We start from the raw sequence: 25,375 nt of genomic DNA on the forward strand, positions 1-25,375 counted from the left end.
CCAACAAAACAAAAGAATGGCTACTTCTTCTGGGGTTGGGAAGAGGGAGCCCTGTCCTGCTCTGCTTTCCTCAATGGAGCAGAAGCTAAGTGCATATTTCTTCTTGAACACACACCTGAGAAGCAGTCAAGAGGCCCTGCTGTGCCTGAGTGTGGTCTACCTATGCGTAAGAGGTGGAGGAAAGAGATGGAACATGTTCATGCCAACTTTCCCACCCGATAGGAAGAGGTAACTTTAGCAGAAGTTTCCCATCTCTTCTTAGAAGGTAAAGTAGCCTGGCCGGGTGCAGTGGCTCATGCCTGTAATCCCAGCACTTTGGGAGGCTGAGACAGGCGGGTCTCTTGAGGTCAGAAGTTTGAGACCAGACTGGCCAACACGGTGAAACACCATCTCTCTCAAAACTACAAAAAAAAAATTAGCTGGGCATGGTGGCATGCACCTGTAGTCCCAGCTACCCAGGAGGCTGATGCAGGAGAATCACTGGAACCGGGGAGATGGAGGTTGCAGTGAGCCAAGATCGCGCCACTTCACTCCAGCCTGGGTGACAAGAGCTAGACTCCACTCAAAAAAAAAAAAAAGAAGGTGAAGTAGCCTATCACCATAGGCTACTTCATATGATGATAGAGTGCTCTATCATCATCCAGTTCCCATACACAAAAAATTAAACCCATTAATGGAATGGTAAAAAGTACATTCTTTATTGAACCAGAAACTGAGGAATTCCAGAGATTGGAAGTGACAGGGTACAGCTAGAGAAGGAGACTTCAGCCTGTGGCATGCAGGAAGACCCTCTGGAAAGGGAGACAGAGGCCACAAACTGCCCCATAACCAAGCGAGGGCACTAGCTTAAGGCTGTGATCACAAGGCCACCAGCAAGTGGTGGTGACTCAGCAAGCTGGATGGTTGACCTCCTCATATCTTCTTTCTTCCTTGGGTCAGGGAGCATTACAGGAATAAACACGTCCATACGGGTGGATGAAATAAAAGCAGGAGTTGGACCAGAGATAAGTGATTATGGAGGCTGTCAGAGGATCACTCTGGCTGCTGAGTGGAGAACAGTTTATATGAGGTGTGGAGGGGGAGCAAGGAAGCCAGTGGGTGTGGCTGCAGTCTTTCAGGAGATGGAGCTAATGGTGTCCTGGATGAGGGTATGAATGAAGGAATGGAGAGAAGGACACAAATTCTAGTGATATCCAGGATGTAAAATCAACAAGACAAAGTCATGGGTCAAGTATGATTTTGTATCCCACTATGCCTATGGATTCACAATACAATGACCTTAGTACACTTCCACTCTATTTACTCATCCCTTATAATTTTTGCTCTTCTTCTCATGTTTGTAGTGATAATGTATGTTAAACATCTCAATGCATTATTTTTGATGTTTTTATAGTCACTATTCATTTCATTTCCATTTTCTGTTGGTCTTCCTTTCAGCATTCTGTGTTTTTACCTGGGATCACTTTCCTCTGAACTGAAGAACTCCCTTTGCTGTTTTCTTTAACACAAATGGGCTCCTGAAAAGTTCTCTTAGTTTTGACTTTTCTGAAAGTATTTCTTTTATTTCCACTTTGCTTTTGAAGAATGTTTTGCTAATTAAAGTAAAATTCTAGGTTCACAGTTATTTTCTTATATCACTTTAACGAGATTATTCAATTGTGTTTTGACTCTCATTGTTTCCCATCACAAGTCAGTTGTCACTCTTCCTGTTTCCTTTCAAAGTCATCTGCCTTTTCAACACTTCTGGCTCCTTTCAGGATCTCCTTTTGTGTTTGGTGTTCAAAAATGACAGTGATATGCTAAAGCATGGTTTTCTTTGTATTTATCCTGCTGAGGCTCATAGGCCATGATTTTGAGTCTTAATGTCCTCCCAAAATCTTGAAAAATACTTGCCTATGATTATGTTTCTGTTCATTTTCTTTCTCCTCTCTTTCTGGAACTACAATTATACCTGAAATTCAATCTTTTCATTATGACCCATATATCTCTTACTTACTCTTCTATACATTGAGACTTTTTATCTCTCTGTGTTTTTTAATATCTCTCTGGACATATTCTACAGACTTTCTTCCAGTTTACTAATTCTCTCTACTACCCTACCATGATGCCCATTGATTGAAATCTCAATTTCATTTATTTTTATTTTTCCATTATAGGATTTCCATTGGAATTTTTATGGTTTCTGGTTCTCTGCTGAAATCCTTCATCTTGTAATTGTATTTCTTGAACATCTTAATTGCGAGTATTTAATATCCATGTACAATAACTCCAATTTCTAATTGTCTATGGGTCTGTTTTTACTATCTGTATTTCTCTTGTTTTTGGACAAACCTTATTTTTTTGTACACCTGTTTTATTTTCAAACACAACATTGTCAAATGTTGTATAAAAAATGTAGAGACAATTTAAGACTTTGAATAAGGTTATCACTCTCCAGAGAGAAACTAATTTTTCCTCTGGCAAATCACTTTTTTTCCGTCTGGGACTGAGCTGATTAGAAGTTGTTTTTCAGTCTTTCTGAGGAATGGCATGTTTCCAGTTCACCCTTACTCATAGGATATAGGCCTTAAGCATAACAACCAAAAACCTGCAGTAATCACAGGACTTCTCCTTAGAAGGTCATTCACTACAATTTTTGTCCCTCTATCCTTGTGAGACTACAAAGAACTTTGCTTATAATCTTAACTTCTCAGATGTCATTTTTGTTTTCTGATTTTGCACTTGCCTTCTAGGCAAAAGCAGCTCCAAATGCCAGACACCTCTCTTTGTTTCCCTCTTTTTTCTGTATCTTAGCCCCAGAAATGCTCATTGCCTGAGCAGCTCTTTGAAGCCTTCAAATATGTGTCTATACCTGTGTGTATGTATGTTCTATATTTTCTCATTATTCTTCCTGAATCCAAAACCACGTGGTCAGCCAAAAACAGAAAGGGGCAAAAGATGATGCATGGGTTTGTTTCTGACTTGCTTAATAGATTTTATAATAATGACATTCACCATTACAGGGAATTCCAGAAAAGGACTGACTGCTGACAAGATTGGTTCTTGGCTGGCATCTGGGAACTTACATTTCAGGAGGGTTTCTGCTGTTAACTGATAAGCACCATTCACCGAGCCAAAAGTATCTGTGAAAAGAATTGGTTTTTGTTGAACTCCTGCTTTCCTGCTGGGAATCTGAAATTGCATACATGCCAGACACAGAGGGGATATATATTAGTCCACTCTCATGCTGCTAATAAAGACATATCCCAGACCAGGTAATTTATAAAGGAAAGAGGTTTAATTGACTCACAGTTCGGCATGGCTGGGGAGGCCTCACAATCATGGTGGAAGGCAAAGAAAGAGCAAAGGAATGTCTTAAATGGTGGCAGGAAAGAGTGTATGCAAGGGATCTGCTCTTTATAAAACCATCAGATCTCATGAGACTTATTCACTGTCACAAGAACAGCATGGGAGAACCTGCCCCCATGATTCAATTACTTCCCACTAAGTCCCTTCCATGACACATTGGGGAATGTGGGAGCTGAAATTCAAGATGAGATTTGGGTGGGGACACAGCCAAACCATATGATTCTGTTCCTGGCCCCTCCCAAATCTTATGCCCTCACATTTCGAAACCAATCATGCCTTCCCAGCAGTCCTCCAAAGTCTTAACTCATTTCAACATTAACTCAAAAGTCCGCAGTCCAAAGTCTCATCTAAGACAAGTCAAGTCCCTTCCAACTATGAGCCTGTAAAATCAAAAACAAGTTATTTACTTCCTACATACAATGGGGATACAAGCATTGGGTAAATATGCCCATGCTAAATGGGAGAAATTGGCAAAAACAAAGGAGCTACAGGCCCCATGCAAGTGTGAAATCCAGCAGGGCAGTCAAATCTCAAAGCTCCAAAATGATCTCCTTTGACTCCATGTCTCACATCCAGGTCATTCTGATGCAAGAAGTGGGCTCCAAGGCCTTGGGGAGCTCCACTCCTGTGGCTTAATAGGGTATAGACCCCCTACTGGCTGCTTTCACAGGCTGGCATTGTTTGCAGCTTTTCCAGGTGCATGGTGCAAGCTGTTGGTGGATCTACCATTCTGGGGTTTGGAAGATGGAGGTCTCTTCTCACAGCTCCACTAGGCAGTGCTCCAGTGGGGACTCTGTGTAGGGGCTCTAACCCCACATTTCCCTTCCACACTGCTCTAGCAGAGATTCTCCATGAGGGCCCTGCCCCTGAAGCAAACTTCTGCCTGGACATCCAGACATTTCCATACATCCTCTGAAATCTAGGTTCCGAATCCTCAATTCTTGACTTCTGTGCACTCTCAAATTCAACACCACGTGGAAGCTGTTAAGGCTTGGGTCTGGAACTCTCTGAAGCCACAGCCTGAGCTGTACCTTGGCCCCTTTTAGCCACAGCTGGAGTGGCTAGGATGCAAAGTACCAAGTTCCTAGGTTGCACACAGCAGGGGGGCCCTGGGCCTGGCCCAGGAAGCCATTTTTCCCTCCTAGTCCTCAGAGCCTGTGATGGGAGGGACTTCCATGAAGGTCTCTGACATGCTTTGGAGACATTTTCCCCATTTTCTTGGTGACTAACATTTGGCTCCTCATTATTTATGCAAATTTTTGCAGGTGGCTTGAATTTCTCCCCAGAAAATGGGGTTTTCTTTTCTATTGCATCATTAGGCTGCAAAATTTCCAAACCTTTATGCTCTGCTTCCTCTTCAAGCTTTGCCACTTAGAATTTTCCTCTGCTGCATACCCTAAATTATCTCTCTCAGGTTCGAAGTTTCACAGATCTCTAGGGCAGGGGCAAAATGCCACCAGTCTCTTTGCCTAGCTATAGTGACCTTTTCTCCAGTTCCCAGGAAGTTCTTCATCTCCATTTGAGACCACCTCAGCCTGGACTTTATTGTCCATATCACTATCTGCATTTTGGTCAAAGCCATTCAATAAGTCTCTAGGAAGTTCAAAACTTTCCCACATCTTCCTGTTTTCTGAGCCCTCCAAGTCTCTAGGAAGTTCCAAACTTTCCCACATTTTCCTATCTTCTTCTGAGCCCTCCAAACTGTTCCAACCTCTGCCTGTTACCCAGTTCCAAAGTCACTTCCACAATTTTGGGTATCTTTACAGCAGCGTTCAACTCTCTGCAGTATCAATTTACTGTATTAGTCCATTCTCATGCTGCTAATAAAGACATACCCAAGACTGGGTAATTTATAAAGGAAAGAGATTTAATTGACTCAAAGTTTAGCATGGCTGGGGAGGCCTCACAATCATGGCAAAAGGCGAAGGAAGAGCAAAGGCATGGTGGCAGGCAAGAGAGTATGTGCAGTGAACTGCCCTTTATAAAACAAAACCATCAGATCTCATGAAACTTATTCACTTTCATGAGAACAGCACAGGAAAACCAATTCCCATGATTCAATTACCTCCCACCAGGTCATTCCCACGACATGTGGAGATTATGAGAGCTACAATTCAAGATGAGATTAGGGTGGAGACATAGCCAAACTATATCAGAGTACCTATGTGATCAGCCCCCAATAAAAATCCTGAGCAGCAAGGCTCTAATAAGCTTCAATAATTGATGTTTCAGATGTATTATCATAATTCATTGCTGAGGTAATTAAGTGCATCCTGTGTGACTCCACTGGGACTAGATTGTTGAAAGTTTGCACCTGGTTTCCCCATGACTTTGCCCTATGTGCCTTTTCTCTTTGCTAATTGTGGTTGGTATCCTTTTTCTGTAATAAATCATAGCCATGAGTATGACTATATGCTGAATCTTGTGAGTTTTTCTAGTGAATCATCAAACCTGAGCGTGATCTTTGGGATTTCTCAAGATAGAACAACTAGAGTGGAGAAAATAATAAATTTAGACTTGGACATATTAAGTACTCTTTATATTACTTGACCTTTTATTTATTTGTTGTTTTACCATGTACTTCTTTAGTTCTCAATCTTTCAACAGCATTAGCATGGTTGACCACCCATCCTTCTGGAAACATGACTAAGCCTTTTTATAACAGAGCTATCACCTGGTTTACTTCTTACCTCTCTTCCTCTGACTCCCTTGCAAGTGCATGACTTTAGATTCTTGGGCTGTCTTCTATTCTCACTCTGTTCTCTCTATATTGGTACTTTCATCCACATTCACAGCTTCCAACACCTCCTACGTACAAAGGATTCACACATTTACAGCTTTGGCCTTGGTCTCCCTTTTAGGCTCCATAACTGCATCTCAACAGCCTATTTATCTTCCAGATAGGCCAGAGTAACCTCAGATTCTTGGTCATGCCGGCATTCTTATAAAATATCAAAACAAGTGCTTTGTTTCAGAGCACCTTCTCTTTCCTCACACTTTTCTTCTACCCTCCCATGAAAAGGTATACATCCTTTGTCTCTGTAGTCTTAGCTGTCACATGGTATGTCTCCTCCCTGTCTATATCCTTTGATTTAATAGGTTCATCCAATAAGACTTTATTGAACATCTACTATGTACATTAGGCTAGACACTGGGGATACAAAGATGGTTAAAACATGGACCCACTCTTCAAAGACTTATAGGCAAATAAATAATGGCAAACATAGAAATAAAGTACCATAAAGTATTATAAATGTGATTGCAGAGCAGTATCAGGACATAATACGAGCCCCCAAAAGGGTAAGTAGTCCAATCCCCCAGAAAATGGAGGAGGAGATGCTGGAACTGCATTTTGAAAGCCAAGTAGGTGTTCTCCATATGGATAGGATGAATGAGAGGATCAAATGCACACTGCAGGGAGGGACACATCATAGTCACTATGATGATGGAAATCCACAAGAGAAAATGTCATGAAAGCAAACTAAACTAACTTAAAATGCAAGGTAGTAATTTTCTCAAAATAGCATTTATTTGAAAACATAAGTACCAGAAGAATATAAGAGATTTAAAAAAAGAACTAGCATTTTCTACAGTTTTGTTACATAATGCAGGGTTTGAATCACCTAGGCTCTGGATCAGCCTGTCTCTGTTAGATCTCATGAGACCAGCTGGTGTTGCCCTTCCTGTCAATAACAGCAAAAGACAAGAACCAAGGTCAGTCTCCAGGGCACAATCAGGAGAATGTGAGCAAAAGGGATTATCAGAGGAAATCTTAAAAAGGAGAGAATTGGATTAAGAAAGCCAATGAAAGATCCAAGTTGAAAGGGCAGGATCACCTCCCCAGACAATTCTAGATGATTACAGGCAAGATAGACTACCAGTTTGACTATGTCCTTTCCAAGCTTGGCGAGAAAACAGTTGTCATTTCAGAGGCTGGCTGCATTCATATAAGCATCATATTTTCCTGTAGCCAATGCCATAATTACTATTCACAGGAAGATTTGGATGATGAATGACTTCCTGGTACCACCCAAATCATGCCACAGTGTCCACTCTGTCTGATCCAATTGTCATCCCTGGACACAGACGTAAAGCCCTCAGCCCTGGCTCGCCAGAGCAATCACAGAGTTTCTCCTTGTCCTCCCCAACTGCACACACTCGGATGGGGGAAGCCTGTTCACCAAGAGCAACAGTATCTACAGGAGGAATTTTACCCCAGATTTTTCTCTCTTCATGCATAAAAAGGTGCCATCTGAAATTATCTCATCTGTCCAAAATGGTGCCCAGACAAGGGGAGAACAGTCCATTGATAGCTGTCATTCAGTTCAATAACTGTCAAGCCTTTTTTTATGAATAAGGGGCTGCACTAGTTGCCATTGAGCATTTTAATATATACAAGAAATGCCCTGTCCAAATCAGAATACACCCTGGGAAATGGACAATTCAACCCAAGTGTCATAATTTACCTATTGCTAGCAAACACAATGATCAAAGGGTACAACTCTGATATGGACATATGCCCAGGGCAGAAAAAGAAAATCAACAGAAACAAATTGATTGCAAATAATCTTGATTCATTGCTAATTTCAAAAGTGTAGATTTTATTACATAATAAAGTTATATATGGGCATAAATATTCTATTATATAGTTTTATCTCTAGATCAAAAAAGTAACTTTATTTATGTATACATATTTTTGCTCCCAGGCTTATAAACTTTTGCTTTTATGGTATGGTGGTCTTAAAAATTAAAGCAAAATATTATCTGCAATGTTTCCCAAAAGTTTCCGTGTGATTCAGAGAGCTCAACAATGATGCAACAGCAGGCATATAGACATAGCAATGCAATTCACACCCAGCTATTTAACTTTTTATTTTCTAGACTGTTATGATTGGCTGGATTGGAGGATGAATTCTCCAGAGCAGTTCACACCAACAAAGAGAGAATCATATCTGTAGCCACAGCTTCTAATTTTTATAATTATTTTCCCCTTTTAAAAAAACCCCTTTGCTTAAGCCAGTGCAAAAAAAGTAATTCAAAAATCAAACTATTTATTATAATCACTGTCCACCCATCACTCTGGGTAGCCAGAATGAGTGCGCTGGAAATAGATATTTAATTAGATATTTCCAAACAGCCCTCACACCTTTTACTTTCCACTGCCCTTACAATAACTCTGGGATTTTTAAAATCTAAAATTGGAATATGATACATGAATGTAAGTAAATATAGATATGCCCAGAAATTAAATTGCACCTGTGAATTTATCCTACCCTTGGGCTACTAACCAAAGATTCTTTAGGTAGATTAATAGTTTAACTCTAGCACATGAAGAAATGATATTTTAATTAAGTTTGGGGAAATAATATATGCAGGCAAAAGATAATAACCATACTCTGTCAGGTATAACTACATTGACTTGAAGAAACAGTGCATGTAATCCTAAAATTCGCCAGTGCCCTGTAATCATTAATTTTTCCATTAATTACATTAATCATTAATCTGTCAGACATGCTCTGGCCTAATAATAATTGCAATCATTTTTTTGAGGATTTAGGGTGCATTAGAAATGGTTCTGAGAACTTCACAGGCAGACATCACCACTCAGGTAATCTTCACAACAACCTGGTGAGGGAGAGCTATTTTGATTTTCCTTTTACATATGAGGAAACAAAGAATTAAAGAGGCTAAATAACATGTCCTGAGTTTAAACCTAACCAGTGGAGGTCCTGGTGTCTGCATGGGTGCTTGCTGCTGAGACCCAGGCCCCCACGCTGCACTAGGCTGGCGCTGTCCACTGACGTCCTCCCCTGGCTTCTCTCGGTAGGATATTCTCCCTCTCTACGACGGGCCCTGGGGACCCCAGACTGACAGTGCTAAAAGGCTCCCTGTAGAGTTCATGGAACCCCAAGCATCTGGTCTGATTTCTCCTGGCCCCACACAGGGGTGCCCCATATGAGGAGAGCAGAAGAAACCACTGGAAGACCAGGCCTTTTTTTTTTTTTTTAACCTCTTCTCGTATTGCACAGAATATTTCAAATATTTGAAATGTCACCAAAATTCCCATATCAACCTAATTCACAACAGCAACTGTGATAAAACCAAAGTATCTTACATCCTGAGTGGGAGATTAGGAATAGAAGGAGGAGAAATAAAAAAGGGAGGGGACGCTGGGCTCGGTGGCTCACACCTGTAATCCTAGCACTTTGGGAGGCCGAGGCAGGTGGATTGTCTGAGCTTAGGAATTCAAGACCAGCCTGGGCAACATGGTGAAACCCCGTCTCTACTAAAATACAAAAGAAATTAGCCGGTAGTGGTGGCCTGCACTTGTAGTCCCGGCTACTCAGGAAGCTGAGGCAGGAGAATTGCTTGAACCCTGGAGGCGGAGGTTGCAGTGAGCGGAGATTGAGCCATTGCATTCCAGCCTGGGCAACAGAGTGAGACTCTGTCTCGGGGAAAAAAAAAAAAAGGAGGGGAGGGAAGAGGACGGGGAAAAAAAGAAAAGAAAAGGGGAGGGTAGGGGAGGGGGAGACAGAAAGAAAAGAGAGAGAGAGAGAGAGGAAGAAAAAGAGAGAGAGGAAGGAAGAAAGGAAGGAAGGGAGGGAGGGAGGAAGAGAAAGAAAGAAAGACAAAGTACTACATGGAGTGAGTTGGAGTTTATTTTAGGACATCAAATATATCTTTACAAATTGAAAAAATTATTGCAAAAGCAAAATATACAACATAAAATTTTATAATGCATTTTCTCTACATGCAATATTTTAAACTATATCCTTTATTTTTCCTGGCTTGGTGGCAGAAATTTGCCAACAACTTTTCTTTGGAAGAACTGCTCTCGCTTGAGATTATTTCTGTGCTACTTTGGTTTTCAAAACTCCTTTATTTTATAAAATTATAGAAATAGTAGGTGGTGCTAGTTTTATTGTTTGCTTTCAATGTCCTATATGGCAAAGGAAGATGTTAGCAATCAGGAAAAACTGTTGGTATGGTTGTCTTTTGAAAAATGTGTAGATCCTAAAAGTCTAGAAATTCCTGCATTATTCTTCAGGGATTCCTTAGCATCTTCCCCCTCCAGCCAAGACTCAGGGATCCTATTTCATTTTCTGGGTAAGAGTGGAATCCCAAAGTTTTACTAAGAGCTCACTCTGCTATCTCCTTCAGGTGGCAAGACATTGCTGCCACAGGGCTTTTATATTTAATTATTTTTATTCCTGATCCATAGTTTTAGTATGACTCATGTTAGGTGTGAATCCCCGCGCTACAGGTCTTTCTTGATACAGAGGTGAAAGTCCCAGACTTGGAGCCCCAAGTCCTGGGTAGAGATGCCACCTCCACTCTGTCTGAGCAATAACTCCATCTCTTTCAACCCATCTTTTTCCTTTTCTCAGTCAAGAAGAAAGATCTTTGTAGACCACATGGTGACCTCCCCTTTGCCTCAATCCCATCAACTTCTGGTCTTTAAGCCAAACCAATTGATTTTAAACTTCCCCCAAAAGTAATGCAGATGGACATCATCCCTCAGACCTGGGTTTATGGGCATTCTTATAATAAGGGTCCTTCTGAAACCTCTTCTTGTGTGCTTAGGGAGCCCCCATAAAAGAGATATGGCTCTTCTCTGATTCTGTGAAGTCTCAACAGGGATTGAAATTAAATAAAATCTACTGTGTGCAACAGGGTACTGACAGACTTCATGGAAGAGAGAGGAATTCTCAAAATTAGGAGGCAGCTAGGCATCATTTCCCTCCTCCATTTGATTGCAAACTCAAATGACTTTGGGAACCAGGCAGGGAAAATCAATGAGGGAGCGGGCAGGAGCCAACAGGGGAGTGGTCGGGAATGTGGTGGGGAACTGGAAAGGGTATGTCCTACCTACAGACATTCATATTCAAATATTTTTACAACTCAGCACCAGCCAAGTCAAATAAGGCTGCCAGCTGAATTCAGCTCCTGTGCTTCCATCTTGCAACTTCAGGTTTAGACTAGAAAAAGAAAGAGTCTTGGAGTCTTGTCTGGGGAGACAGACATTTATGAGCTTGGTCCAACCTGTGCCATATGAAAGGAACAGCATGCAGACACTCACAGCAGTGAAACAGCCATGCGGATCTGTGTTCCCACAGGTTCATCACACAGTACGAAATCCCACAGCCTCCCCGACAAACCTGTTTTGGGTTTGGTCAGGGAGAAGGGAGATCTGGTGCACTACTGGCCAGCATTGACCATTCTGCTGAAATCCCCATGGAGTTACCACAACTCAATGGCTCAGATGTGTGGCTGCGCTCGAATGGGAGGAGGGATGTGTGGGAAAGTGGGTTATGAGGATTCCCCAAAAGTGAGCAGCATCTCCCTCCGAGTAGGTTAGAAGCAGGAGGTTACAGTGATTGGCATAAACTGGACAAATACAGTGAGTCCTGTGGGGAGACACCTTGGTGAGTCCCGGAAAAAGTGCTCATGAACTTCTTTGGAAAGGGTTTAATCTCTTAGGTGCTTTCTCAATGACCTCTGGAGACTGTCCTATTTAATACCTAAGATCAACCTCTTCATTTCTGCATTGTAACTCCCACTTTGCCCCATGTCTTCAGAGAAGACATCTACATACCCAACTATGGTAGAGACTGGAAACTTAGGCCAGGCCTTGCCCCACCTCCAGAGTGGTGTCCTCTCCTAGCATCTGCAGCCCAGGAGGGACAGGAGAAGTCTGGTAGCCCCTGAAGAGCAGAAACAGCTCCAGAAGGATGAGGGCCTGGAACTCACGAGCCCAGCTACATGTTTCAGGAAGCTGACCCCTGACAACAAATGGAGGAGGAAAGGACGACAAACCAAAAAAAAAAAAAAAGTTTGAAAGGTTTAAATATGTAGCAATGTCCCAAAAGGGCAACCAACACGGTGGCTGCATTCAGAGGACACGTGAGGCATGGCTTAGAGTAGAACCCAAAGACGATTCCTGAGCTTGCTTCTTTATAGTGTCATTAAAATAGGAATTCCAGGTCTTTCTGCCTCCTTTCCCCCTAGTTATGACTGTTGAAGGCCACAATTGTTCTCTTGCGAATTTGGCTAGAAAACTCATCCTTCACAGAAGCCACATGAAACATTTTGTCTAATCCTAAAGCAAAATCTGTCATACCCGAGAAGCACAGTCTTTCTCCCATTCTGTTTGTAATGAACATTGCCTTTGCTGGTGGGGTTTTTAAAAAATATTATTATTAAATAAAACCTTGCCAAATGTATTTTGCAGAAGTATCTTTTATGGAAAACAGATGGAAAGAGCTAACCTAAAAATGCAAATCGTAACATTATAATGACTTCTTAATTTTAAAAATTATGAATACGACTTCCCAGGAGGGACTAAAAGAGACAGTGACAACAGCTGCAGAAGAAACATCAGGAGTGGGAGGGGACTGCAAGGCCAAAAAGGTTGTCTAGTTGCAGAGATTACAAAGAACATTCCTTGTCTTTAAATGCAGTGTGCTGAGCACTCACGTGTTCGATTCCAAAGTGTTTATTCAGGTAAACGAAAGGAATGAAGAAACCACCAATACTCAAGATGCAGGTTGCTCCCCAAAGTGTCTACACATGCCACAAGGAATATAAAGTTCTAGAAAAACACACTTAATGTGTTTCCTCCCCACTTTCTTCATGGATCATCAGACAGGAATATGAAACCACAGTTTGCAAATGCTTCTGATTCGTGTATGATTACTCAGGTGTTAAACTCCTCCTGAAATGGGCATTTAACACAGAGGTTCCTTATATTTTCACAACTGGCCTCTCTTGAAACCCACTCTTCAAGAAGATTGAATGTTTATGCATTTTCTTATTTTTTAGAAAGTGGATGGGTTTTCTCCCCAAACCATGTTTTCCACTCTTGAATAACCCACCGTCTTCTTCCTTCCATCTTTCTCCTTCTTCCTTTCCAGAAAAAGAAGAGATTTTAGAAAACTCTTTCTATATGGAAAGGAAGGAGAAATATTTTCAAGATTTTCTAGCAGCAAATTTTAATATTGCCCCTGTGAATGAAATTCAATACACATACAAATTATGCCTCTTTCTCCCCTTCAATTCTTTATACTTTTTGAATAGCAAGTCACCAAAGGTACTCAAATACACACATGCAGTCTCCCAATTAATACATTTAGAAGTAAATCCAAGAAGCAATCTGTCATCAATTGTAGTAACATACTGTCTCCAATATGCTGCTCTGGGCTTCCTGGCCCATGCCATATCAGAGTATTAAGTGCTGTCTCTGGGTAAATGGTTGACTCACACGTGTTCTGAGCGGCTCTCATCTCAACAGAGCCGAGAGAAATTAAACAGCTGGAAGCATTTTCAAATTTCTGTCTGCGAACTGCTTAATGTATCAGAACTCAACATGGATTTCCCACTGAGACAGAAGTGTAAAAGTTGTTCTTTCTTCTTCCTCTTCTTTTTTTTGAAGGCATCTCCTTTCCTTTCACAAACAGAATATCAAGCTTTTCAAGTTCTCACCATAGGTTAGAGAAAAGAAAAGGAGTCTTAAAATCAGTGATCACCTCCTACTGGAGAAATTGATCAAAATCTCACTGGGGAAGAAAGTAGTGGAGGAAGACAGAAATGGGGTTGTAGCTACTATTTCTCTCTCCTAGAATTAAACATAATCCACTAGGACTGGCTCCACTGAAAGCATTTTGACTGCTATGTGTGGAGACCATGAGTCATTTGGGGGCTCTCAATGAATTCATGGGTTCAGAAAACAAACACAGTCACCTCAACATAATATAATACTATTCAGCAGAGAATAAAATGCAATATAAAATGGTTCATCTTGAACACCATCCAGGGTGTTTTGTTGTTGAAGTACCAAGAAGTCCCTCAATATTTCTCTGCCTTAGTGGAGTACCGTATTTCCTTTTAGATTCTCCTCCCCACACTTAGCACCCCCGCCCAGGACTGTGTCATAGAGTATAGTTCCAGGAGGATTCATCCTGATCATCTGATTGCTTTCCCTCACTAGAGCCTTGGGCTAGTTACCAGATTCAGCATTCACGAGCATTCAAACAGAATTGGACATCCAGCAAATAGAATCTGACAGCATTTGGAAGTGAACCACGAACGCTTGTATCTAAGCAGCAGCTGTCTGATTACTTAGATGATATGATTCTTCTAAAAGTTCTCTGTCTTTAGTTTGGGGTTGTTTTTACTTAGGTCATATGGTCACTTCATTTTTCTTGGTTTGCAGCTATAACAATTACAGTGAGCTCCAAACGTAGTAATCATGTATGGGGAGAGACAAGGAGGTCAGCTGGGCTTCCTCCAAATGCAGTTTGAGAGAAGCTTTCAGAATCTAGAGGCATCCATCAACATCTTTCATACACAAGAATAAAATTGTACAAAACTGTGTGGATGTTGTAGGAACTGTGTCAACTAAGCTGAGCTAAAAGCACATTTCCCAGAATTCCCTTCCCTGTGTGGTCCTGAGTGAGTGCTGGCCACAAGGGATGTTTTGTATGAGGTTTGGAGTGCAGACATAAAGAAGCAACTCTATCTCCTTCCACCCTGAAGGCCAGTGAGTGCAGGGTGCCAGGCACTACAGAGTTCACGCCTACCATCACTAACTTCCAGCCTCCCAGAAGGTGTAATGGAGTGCTCAAACCTGCAGCTCCTTCAGTTTCCACAGCAGGGCTGGGACTATGGTGAGGCAGGTGAGGAACTTGCCTTGGGGCATGACAATTAAAGAGGCACTTAGTAGTCAAGGCAAATATTTTAATGCAATGTTCTTTAAAAATCAAAGTTAATGCAGAAATACACATGGTGAACAAACTGTCAACATATTTAATACACAGGAACAGTTACAGTTCTGGGATGAACCATATTGGAGCTAGAAGCAAGAGGAAAAATTAATAACACTAATCTCACAGGTCTGTGATCTCCTTCTTCAGTTTCTCTGATCCCTGGGTGTCAGGAACACATGCATTTCCATGATCAAGGGCACCTGCCTCTCCTGCAGGTTGCCCACATGGAGGTGGTGAGGGACATCTGCAAGCTCCAGTTTGCCCTCTTGGGATCCAGTTCTTCTCGTGGATCCCAGTTTGTCCATACTTCTCCGGACATCTAGCTGTCCTTTCCAACTATCATTCTGGTAGACCTATAGCAACCTCATGCTCAGCCCTCGACGCAAGACAACAATCAGCATAGGCAGCTCCAGCAGCACCCACATTTGCAAGGCCTAATTTTAATTTTTATAATAACCCCCATACTTTATACACTTGTTGTGGTTCTACTTCTCTGACCCATAAAGATGCCTGACCCATAGAGATGTGATGATTATATGCAAACTAGAATATACCAATGAGGCATCAAACACAAATTTTGTGAGAGGTACGATCAAATTGTATGGTGAAATGTCTACAGCTTTCCCCCAGCCTGTTTGAACCATCATTTTACCATTGTCAAGATGTTGCCTTGTGTTCCTTTGCTAAATGACTAGAGGCTGGGTTGGCAGTGGGGTCAATTGTTTATAATTGATAAGAGAACAGATAACCAGGCTATCCTTATGTTTCTGTGAGGACAGAGATGTTCCCCTGCAGGGTTTGCTTGATTTTCCTTTATCAGCAATAAAGACAAGGTTACAAGCCCCTGAAGAAGCCATAGAGTATGCTTAACATACTCGAGTTCTACAAACCCAAACCCCATTGAAGGAATTTTAAACACTATTGTGTTTAAAAGCACCAGTTGCTAAGTTCAGTCATACATAAACTATACGTAAAGAGGAAAAATATTTACCTCTTTAAGGACCCTGGTAAAAGTCCTAGGTTATAGATTAGTCTCTGAGTAATCTTCTATTGTTATGCTGAGCTCTGGAGCTGGCTAAACTGGAGAGTGAGGCTCTCACACAGTCTCTGGGGAAGACACCTGCTTCCTAAGGAATTTTGGCTCAGTTTGGATGAACTATGGTACATCAGAAGGAGAAAGAATTTGTTCCTGAGGCTTCCTAGGAGAATAGCTGGGCCATAGAGATGAAAACCTAAGTACAGTTAAACCTAAGATTAACAACTGCACTGTTCAAGGAACCATTCTCTGTCGTAGATCTAGACCATGGTTTCTCAATATCAACACTATTGACACTGTTGTGAAATAATTCTTAGTTATAGAGGGGCTGTCCTTCACATTTCTGAATGCTCAGCAGCATCCCTATCCTCTATCATGTAGATGACAAGAGCACCACCAGTTGTGACAACCAAAAATGTCTCCAGGCATTTCCAAATGACTCCTGGACAGCAAAAGTGTCCCCAGTGAGAATAGCCATGTAGACAACAACAGACGCTGGGATACTAATTACTAAAGGCAAAAGCAGGGACAAATCAATGTCAGATATTGGGAGATCAGAGTTAGATAAGAATGAATCTTGGTAGACAAAGTAAGGCAGAATTGTAGACAAGAAGAAGCCCAAAACCAAGTCAATAACCAGAGATGCCATATACCAGATAAAAGTCATGTCAGCCATCCCTCCTCACTGGGTGGGGCCTCGCTGCAGGAATTTCAGCAACTCCAGCCAGGGGTTTAGGGACAGAACTCTGATGTCCCTGGGACTGAGCCCCTGGGGAGGAGGAGGAGCCACAGTCTCCGTGGATCAGCAGACTTAGTCTTTCCCACTGCTGGCTCTGAGGGATCCAGGCAGTCTGGACAAATAGGATTCCCCCAGTGCAGCATAATCCTTCCACCAAGGGGCAGCCAGAGTGCCCCAAAGTGGGGCAACTTCAGCAGTCTCAGGATACAAAATCAATGTGCAAAAGTCACAAGCATTCCTATATACAAGCAGTAGACAAACAGAGAGCCAAATCATGAATGAACTCCCATTCACAATTAATACAAAGAGAATAAAATACCTAGGAACACAGGGAATACAGCTAACAAGGGAAGCGAAGGACCTCTTCAAGAACTACAAACCACCACTCAAGAAAGTCAGAGAGAACACAAACAAATGGAAAAACATTCCATGCTCATGAACAGAAAGAATCAATATCATGAAAATGGCCATAGTGCCCAAGTAATTTATAGATTCAATGCTATTCCCATTAAACAACCATTGACATTCCTCACAGAATTAGAAAAAAACTACTTAAAAGTTAATAAGGAATGAAAAAAGGCCCATATAGCCAAGACAATCCTAAGCAAAGAGAACAAAGCTGGAAGTATCATGTGACCCAACTTCAAACTATATTACAAGGCTACAGTAACCAAAACAGTATGGTACTGGTACAAAAATAGACACATAGACCAATGGAACAGAATAGAGATCTCATAAATAAGACCACACATCTACAATCACCTTATCTTCAACAAACCTGACAAAAACAAGCAATGAAGAAAGGATTTCCTATTTAATAAATGATGCTGGGAGAACTGGCTAGCCATATGCAGAAAATTGAAACTGGGCCCCTTCCTTATAACTTACACAAAAATTAACTCAAGATGGATTAAAGACTTAAATGTAAAACCCAAAACTATAAAAACCTTAGAAGAAAATCTGGGCAATACCATTCAGGACATAGGCATAGGCAAAGATTTTGTGACAAAAACATCAAAAGCAATTGCAACAAAAGTGAAAATTGACAAACAGAATCTAATTAAACTAAAGAGCTTCTGCACAGCAAAAGAAACTATTATCAGAGTGAACAGACAACCTACAGAATGGGAGAAAATTTTTGCAATCTATCCATCTGATAAAGGTCTAATGTCCAGAATGTACAAGATGCTTAAATTTACAAGAAAAAGACAACCCCATTAAAAAGTGGCCAAAGGACATGAACAGACACTTCTCAAAAGAAGACATTTATGTGGCCATCAAACATATGAAAAAAAGCTCAACATCAGTGATCATTAGAGAAATGCAAATCAAAACCACAATGAGATAGTATCTCGTGCCAGTCAGATGATTATTAAAAAGTCAAGAAATGGCTGGGCGCAGTGGCTCATGGCTGTAATCCCAGCATTTTGGGAGGCCAAGGCGGGGATCACTTGAGGCCAGTAATTCAAGACCAGCTAGGCCAACATGGTGAAACCCCATCTCTAATAAAAATACAAAAATTAGCTGGACATGGTGGCAGGTGCCTGTAATCCCAGCTACTTGGAAACCTGAGGCACGAGAATTGCTTGAACTCCAGAGGTGGAGGTTGCAGTGAGCCGAGATCATGCCACTGCACTCCAGCCTAGGTGACAGAGCAAAACTCTTGTCTCAAAAAATATAAATAAATTAATTAATAAATAAATAGTCAAGAAACAACAGATGCTAGTGAGGCTGTGGAGAAATAGGAACGCTTTTACACTGTTGGTGAGATTGTAAATTAGTTTAACCATTGTGGAAGATGGTGTTGTTATTCCTCAAAGACCTGGAACCAGAAATATCACTTGACTCAGGAATCCCATTACTAGGTATATACCCAAAGGAATATAGGAATATAAACCATTCTATTTAATTATTATTCTCAAAGGAATAAAGGAATATAAATCATTCTATTAAAAAGACACATGCATGCATATGTTCATTGCAGCACTATTCACAATAGTGAAGACATTGGATCATCCCAAACACCCATCAATGATAGACTAGATAAAGAAAGTATGGTACATATATACCACGAAATACTAGGTAGCCATAAAAAGGAACAAGATCATGTGCTTTGCAGGGACATGGATGGAGCTGGAAGCCATTATCCTCAGCAAAGTAATGCAGGAACAGAAAACCAAACACCACATGTTCTCACTTATAAGTGGGAGCTGAACAATGAGAACGTGTGGGCACAAGGAGGGGAATGACACACACTGGGGCCTGTCCGGGGTACAGGGGGAGGGAGAGCATCAGGAAGAATAGCTAATGCATCCTGGGCTTAATACCTAGGTGATGGGTTGATAAGTGTGGCAAAACACCATGGCACACATTTACCTGTGTAACAAAGCTGCACATCCTGCATATGTATCCTGGAACATAAAATTTAAAAAAATAAATAAATAAAAATAAAAGTCAGGTTAGAAGTCGAAGGGAAGTCAGGCTCAAATGAGGGGAAAACAAGATGACCAACCTGGAGAACCTGGAAGCATACATGGATTTCGTACACATCAAGAATTTGGTAACAGTTATTGGAGAGTTTGAGCACCTGAGGAATATATCACTAATATTTAAAGGTAAGACAAAGATTCTCAGTCTTTCCAGATAAAATTGATTTTATCAGTTAGCTATTGATATGTAACAAGCTTCACCGAGAATTCAGTGGCTTAAGCAGTGAGCTTTTTTATTTTTCCTGAGTCTATGGGTCTGCTGGGAGATCTTCTGGTTCTGGTTGGGCTCACACATGCATCTACGATCAGCTGTGGGTCCAGTGGCCAGCTCTGAGGCTCTGAGCCAGGCTTTCTCAAGTACTTTGGGTAAATATCACAGAATACAAATTTACAATACTATCCTAGTCCATTTTCGGCTGCAAAACAGAATACCGCAAAGTGGGTAATTTATAATGAATAGAACTTTGTTTGGCTCACAGTTCTGGAGGCTAGGCAGTCCAGAGGCACAGCACCTGCATCTGTTCAGCCATCTTGTGAGGACCTTCCTGTTGCATCTTCCCTTAGTGGAAAGGAGAAAACAGAAGGACAAGTAAACATGGGAGACAGTGAGAAAATCGGGCTGAACCCATTCTTTTATCAAGAAACTACTCCTGTGATAACTAACACACTCCCAGGATAACATCATTAATCCCTTCATGACAGTGGAGTCCTCATTGCCTAAACATCCCTTAAAGTCCCCCCTTCTTAGGGCCAGGCGTGGTGGCTCATGCCTGTAATCCCAGCACTTTGGGAGGCGGAGGTGGGTGGATCATGAGGTCAGGAGATCGAGACCATCCTGGCTAACACAAGAAACCCTGTCTCTACTAAAAACACAAAAAATTAGCTGGGTGTGGTGGTGGGCGCCTGTAATCCCAGCTACTCGGGAGGCTGAGGGAGGAGAATGGCATGAACCCAGGAGGCAGAGGTTGCAGTGAGTGGAGATCGTGCCACTGTACTCCAGCCTGGGCAACAGAGTGAGACTCTGACTTAAAAAAAAAAAAAAAAAAAAAGTCCCCACCTCTTAATACTTTACAATCACAATTAAATTTCAACATGAGTTTTGGAGGAGACAATCAAACCACAGCAGATACCTTTTGATCTTAACTGCTACATTATAAAACACAAGTTACTATTATTTATTACTAAAGTAGCAATCTATGGGAAGTATAATGGTTAGATTCTGTCTGTATTGTCACCCCAACCATTATTATGCTGTCAGAATAGCCAGCAACAGCAGTCACTCTTGGCAACACTAATTTATTCCTCTCAGTTAATAACTCTTATTTAAATGTTAGCTTCAAAATAACTTTGACCTTTTTCTAGGAACTAGCTGTTTGTCCAAAAATAATCATCTCTTTTTATATACTTCCTTTTGCCTAAATTGTACTTTTTGTTGTCACATAAACTCCTGTGATTCAAAATGTTCTTACTTTCTAAATTGACATTCACTCTCAGTCTTAAATTAATATTTCAGCAAATGTAACAATAGAACAAAGCACTAGCATTTACTGAGTGTCTACTATGTACCAGGCACTGTCTTAGGTGCTATACATAAACTAACTCTTTCAATCTGCACAGTAACCATTTTCTGTAGACAAAGAAACTAGGGTACCCAAAGGATAAGTGACTCGCCCAAGGTCACTCAGCCAATACATGAGCTGGGATTCAAACCCCAGTAGTCTGACCTAGAACCCATGTTTCTAATCAATACACTATTGCCTCTGTAATGTTGAATAAATTATAGCAATACAATTTTTATTTTTTAATAATTATTATGAAGTTATGATTTCTTTATTAATGGAAAGTTAAATATAAGTACAGCCATGTGGTTAAAAAATAGAAGATTTGTGATCACTTAGAAATTCAAAGACTGCTGACTTGGCTAATCAGAGAGAATATTAATTCCTTTCATTTGCCTTATACAGCTATCACTGTAGGCAAAATACAAATTATTTAGTGTAATGGAATCCAATCTCTAGCTATAATAAACCATAACTTTGTTTCTGCAACATTGCTCTAATTGACTCTGATCAAACATTTTTCAGTTATGTGGTGTTGTTAAGCTTGGAAGTTTTAACAAATTGAACTAAAAATGATATAAGTCAGGGGGGAAAAAGAAGCTAAAGTATGAGAAGCTACAGTTTTTATCAATAGTTCCATACCAGCATCTAATTAAGATGCAAAATTATCCTTTAAAAGAATGAGTTAATCAATTAAAAATTAATGTGGGAGGTGAACAACGGCCACTGAGTCAGAAAGTTGGGTGTGGGGAGAATACATGGCAGCAAATTAACTTTTGAGAGAAGGAAAGTGTTTGTGTGATAAATGCATATAAAAATATAAAACATATATAAAAAAACAAAACTCGCACAGTGATCATTTGAAAACTCATTTGCAAATAAATGAGAAAAAATATTTGGGGGAAGAAACTTCAATAAAATTATTAGCACCATCAAAGAAATGGTTTTTCATAGAGAAAGGATATTAAGAAAACTGAGGGTGGTGCATATACTGTTACAAGCTTCAAATATGATTTTTTTATATAATTCTTTTTTTTTTTTTTTGGAGACGGAGTCTTGCTCTGCCACCCAGGCTGGAGTGCAGTGGCACGATCTTGGCTCACTGCAACCTCCACCTCCCAGGTTCAAGCAATTCTCCTGCCTTAACCTCCCAAGTAGCTGGGACTACAGGTGCATGCTGCCAAGCCCAGCTAATTTTTTGTATTTTAGTAGAGACGGGGTTTCACCGTGTTGCCCAGGCTGGTCTGGAACTTCTGAGCTCAGGCAATTCACCGGCCTCAGCCTCCCAAAGTGCTGGGATTACAGGTGTGAGCCACTGCGCCCAGCATTTTTTTTTTTTTTTTTTTTTTGAGACGAGTCTCACTCTGTCGCCCAGGCTGAAGTGTAGTGGTGCAATCGTGGCTCACTGCAAACTCCACCTCTGGGGTCCAAGCAATCCTGCCTCAGCCCCCCTAGTAGCTAGGATTACAGTTGCCCACCACCATGCCCAGATAATTTTTTTGTATTTTTAGTAGAGACGGGGTTTTGCCACATTGACCAGGCTGGTCTCCAACTCCTGACCTCAGATGATCCGCCCACCTCGGCCTCTCAAAGTGCTGGGATTACAGATGTGAGCCACCGTTCCCAGTCTATTTTTATATAATTGTTAAAACAAGCTTCTATTACAGTTTAACACCTATATGAAGACATAAATACTATCTATACATTTCAATGCGTAATCAGAAAGTGGTGGGAGGAGAGTGAGGATCAAAAAACTGTCTATTGGGTACTATGCTTATTACCTTGGGGATAAATAATCTGTACACCAAACCCCCAAGACATGCAATTAACCTACATAACCAACCTGCACATGTATCCCTGAACCTGAAATAAAAGTTAAAAATAATAATAAACTGGAACATCTACGTAACCATCACCAAAGGTAATGGCGATGGCCCTTAACACCACAGCACAGCTTGACCACCGCCACTGGAATGTTCTCATCCTTGTCTTTTGGTACAACATATACCCATTTCTTTTGGGAATGGAATTGCTGGAGCATAAAAAATAATATGTGTAGTCACTTACATGGAGACTACCAAAGTGTTTTCCAAAGCAATTGTACCCATTTATACTCTATCCACAGAATCTGAGTCTCTGTTGCCCTTATTCAGATGTCATTTTGATTTTAACTAAATGACAACTTGATCACACCACATAGTAATAATCATATGCAGTTATTAATTATATTGATCTTTGACATCATCTATTCACCAACTGGTATGAAAGTATTTCATATTATAACAACCTATACAACCATATTAGTGCAAAGTTGCTGAATATAAGCCTTGTCTTCCACTATAATGATGTCAAATGACTTTCAAATATATCTCACATTTTAGCTCAACAAATTCCAAGCTATCCTTCCCAGTTTCATCAGCACTCTCAGCACTCTCATCAAGCAGAAATGCAAATCTTTCTTCCTGCTTCCCCTGCTATCTTCACACCTTAGTCCCTTCACTATCTGCCTGTTGAGTTTTTCTTTGACATTCAACACACGAGGCTCCTCCACCACCTATGTATCACACATGGTGACCCAATTCTCCTGAACCACACTCTATCACCTGTCACTCACTTATTCATTGGCTCCAACAATAGCCATTTGTGCCACATTTACCATGTGCTTGTTACCAGGCTGCCACTAAGGACAAAGGCGAACAAAGCATGGACCCTGTCCTCGAGGAGCTCACAGGGAGAAACAGACATGTCAATGAACAAGTGCAATCTGTTATAATAAGCATAACTAGAAAAGTGGAAAAATAGATGGACATAACACAGGCGTAAGAAAGCGAGGGGTCAATTTGCCTGACAAGAAAAGACAATGGATAGAATTTTGCGTGGAATCTCCAAAGCTAAGCAGGGTACTCCAGGAAAGCAGGTGGGGAGTAGGCAGGACAGCAGGGCCACAGGAGCACTCCCATCAAGACCCTCCCAGTCCTATACAGACCTAGGAACTCAGTACCAGGTTTAATAAGCAGCCCCGCTGAGAGCACCAGGGAGGCAGGCAGCTACCGAAAGGGGGTTGGGGCTTGCAGGGGACTGCTCAGGGTACATTTTCTGGTTGCCTCTTTTACTCTGAGTGTAGGCCCCCATCTGCACCATGCCCTTCCTGCCCAGATCCTCTTTCCCCTCCACCCCTCACATCAGGAGTAGCTTTGTCAAGAGCTCCTTCACTGCTCAGCCCTCTCACGGGAGCTGCCATGGCCGCTGCCTGACTCTGAAACACCCCTGAAGCCCTCCTTTTCTCCTCTTACTCTAGTTCTACTAGAAAGCCTTAACAGTCACAAAGAGTGCATCTCCAAAAAAAATTATTCAACCTTGCCTACGTTTTCTCTGTCAAGTCACTTCCCCAAAGCCCCAAAGACTTGAAGTGATCTGCTAATTCCCAAGCTCCTACGAAATAAGGAAAGGCTTCTGCTATCCCGGACCCAACACAGCCTGCTGAACTATTTTAAAAATTAATCAATCCGTAATGCATGTATGAAGAGCCTTCTGCCTAAAGCACGCAGATTGCAGGGGGAGCATTTCACAGGGTGGACCCAAAGCTGTGTGCAACGGTGAGGAAAGGGCATGCTGTCATTCCCCCAAAAGTCCCAGATTTCACAAGCTTACAGTCTGATTAGGAGAATAGACATGAATCAGATTTCCAGAAATAAACAGCAAATTACAACTAGGATAAATGCTCCAAAGGAAACATCCATGGTGCTAACAGTGGACAGGGAGGGGATGACTCACAGAGGAGGCAAGGGTGACCACATGAGGGTGGGTGGGGGAGGAGTGAGCAGTGAGAGGAGCCCAAGCAAGGATAATGCCAAGATAGCAGAAGACAGATGGCATCTTCCAGGAAGGGAAATTAGGTGAATGTGATCAAAATGAGGCATATTCAGAGAAACATTTCAGAGGGGATGAGGATGGAGGACTACTTAAGAGTTATGCAGAAGCCTGAAGGCCAACTTGAGCATTTAAGATTTGAGTTTGCACTCCCAGTAATGGCTAAGTATCTGCTATGAGAGCAACCATTCTCAGACTATTTCTTAAAAACACCCTTAAACTATACAGACCTATAAACTCAGTATTAGATTTAATAAGCAGCACCAGGGAGGCAGGCAGCTACTGAAAGGGGGTCGGAGCTTGCAGGGGAATGCTCAGGGTACATTTCTGGTTGTCTTCCTTTACTCTGAGTGCCCCCATCTGCACCATGCTGGAGCAGATGAAAATGTGCAGTCTTACTGTACTGATGATGGAGGGACAGGTACGGCAGCCCTAGTAACTGAAAGGAAAGCAGGATGTCTGGTAGGGAGAAGGAGAGTCCCAAATTCTGTGGATGGATCCTGCTCATGTATCTGGCTGACGTAGGACCACACATGCACAGGGTAGACTCCAGGCAGCCCAGCTATGGC

The 25,375-nt window shown here is 41.5% G+C and overlaps 1 protein-coding gene and 1 long non-coding RNA gene across 2 annotated transcripts in view; both read right to left on the reverse strand.

Annotated features, from left to right (window-relative positions):
- The window catches only part of TAS2R1 (taste 2 receptor member 1), a 276,530-nt gene that overhangs the window by 236,722 nt on the left and 14,433 nt on the right, over positions 1 to 25,375 (reverse strand). Inside the window, exons 3-4 of the mRNA NM_001386348.1 lie at positions 19,855 to 19,936; positions 19,265 to 19,299 (exon numbers count right to left, since the gene is read on the reverse strand). The gene's annotated coding sequence lies outside the window, so the exon portion shown is untranslated. The remainder of the gene's footprint in view (positions 1 to 19,264; positions 19,300 to 19,854; positions 19,937 to 25,375) is intronic.
- The window catches only part of LINC02112 (long intergenic non-protein coding RNA 2112), a 262,510-nt gene that overhangs the window by 222,754 nt on the left and 14,381 nt on the right, over positions 1 to 25,375 (reverse strand). Inside the window, exons 3-4 of the long non-coding RNA NR_027112.2 lie at positions 19,855 to 19,936; positions 19,265 to 19,299 (exon numbers count right to left, since the gene is read on the reverse strand). This is a non-coding gene — a long non-coding RNA (long intergenic non-protein coding RNA 2112). The remainder of the gene's footprint in view (positions 1 to 19,264; positions 19,300 to 19,854; positions 19,937 to 25,375) is intronic.

The sequence above is a fragment of the Homo sapiens genome, chromosome 5 (genome assembly GCF_000001405.40).
Source record: "Homo sapiens chromosome 5, GRCh38.p14 Primary Assembly".
NCBI classification, from domain to species: Eukaryota; Metazoa; Chordata; class Mammalia; order Primates; family Hominidae; genus Homo; species Homo sapiens.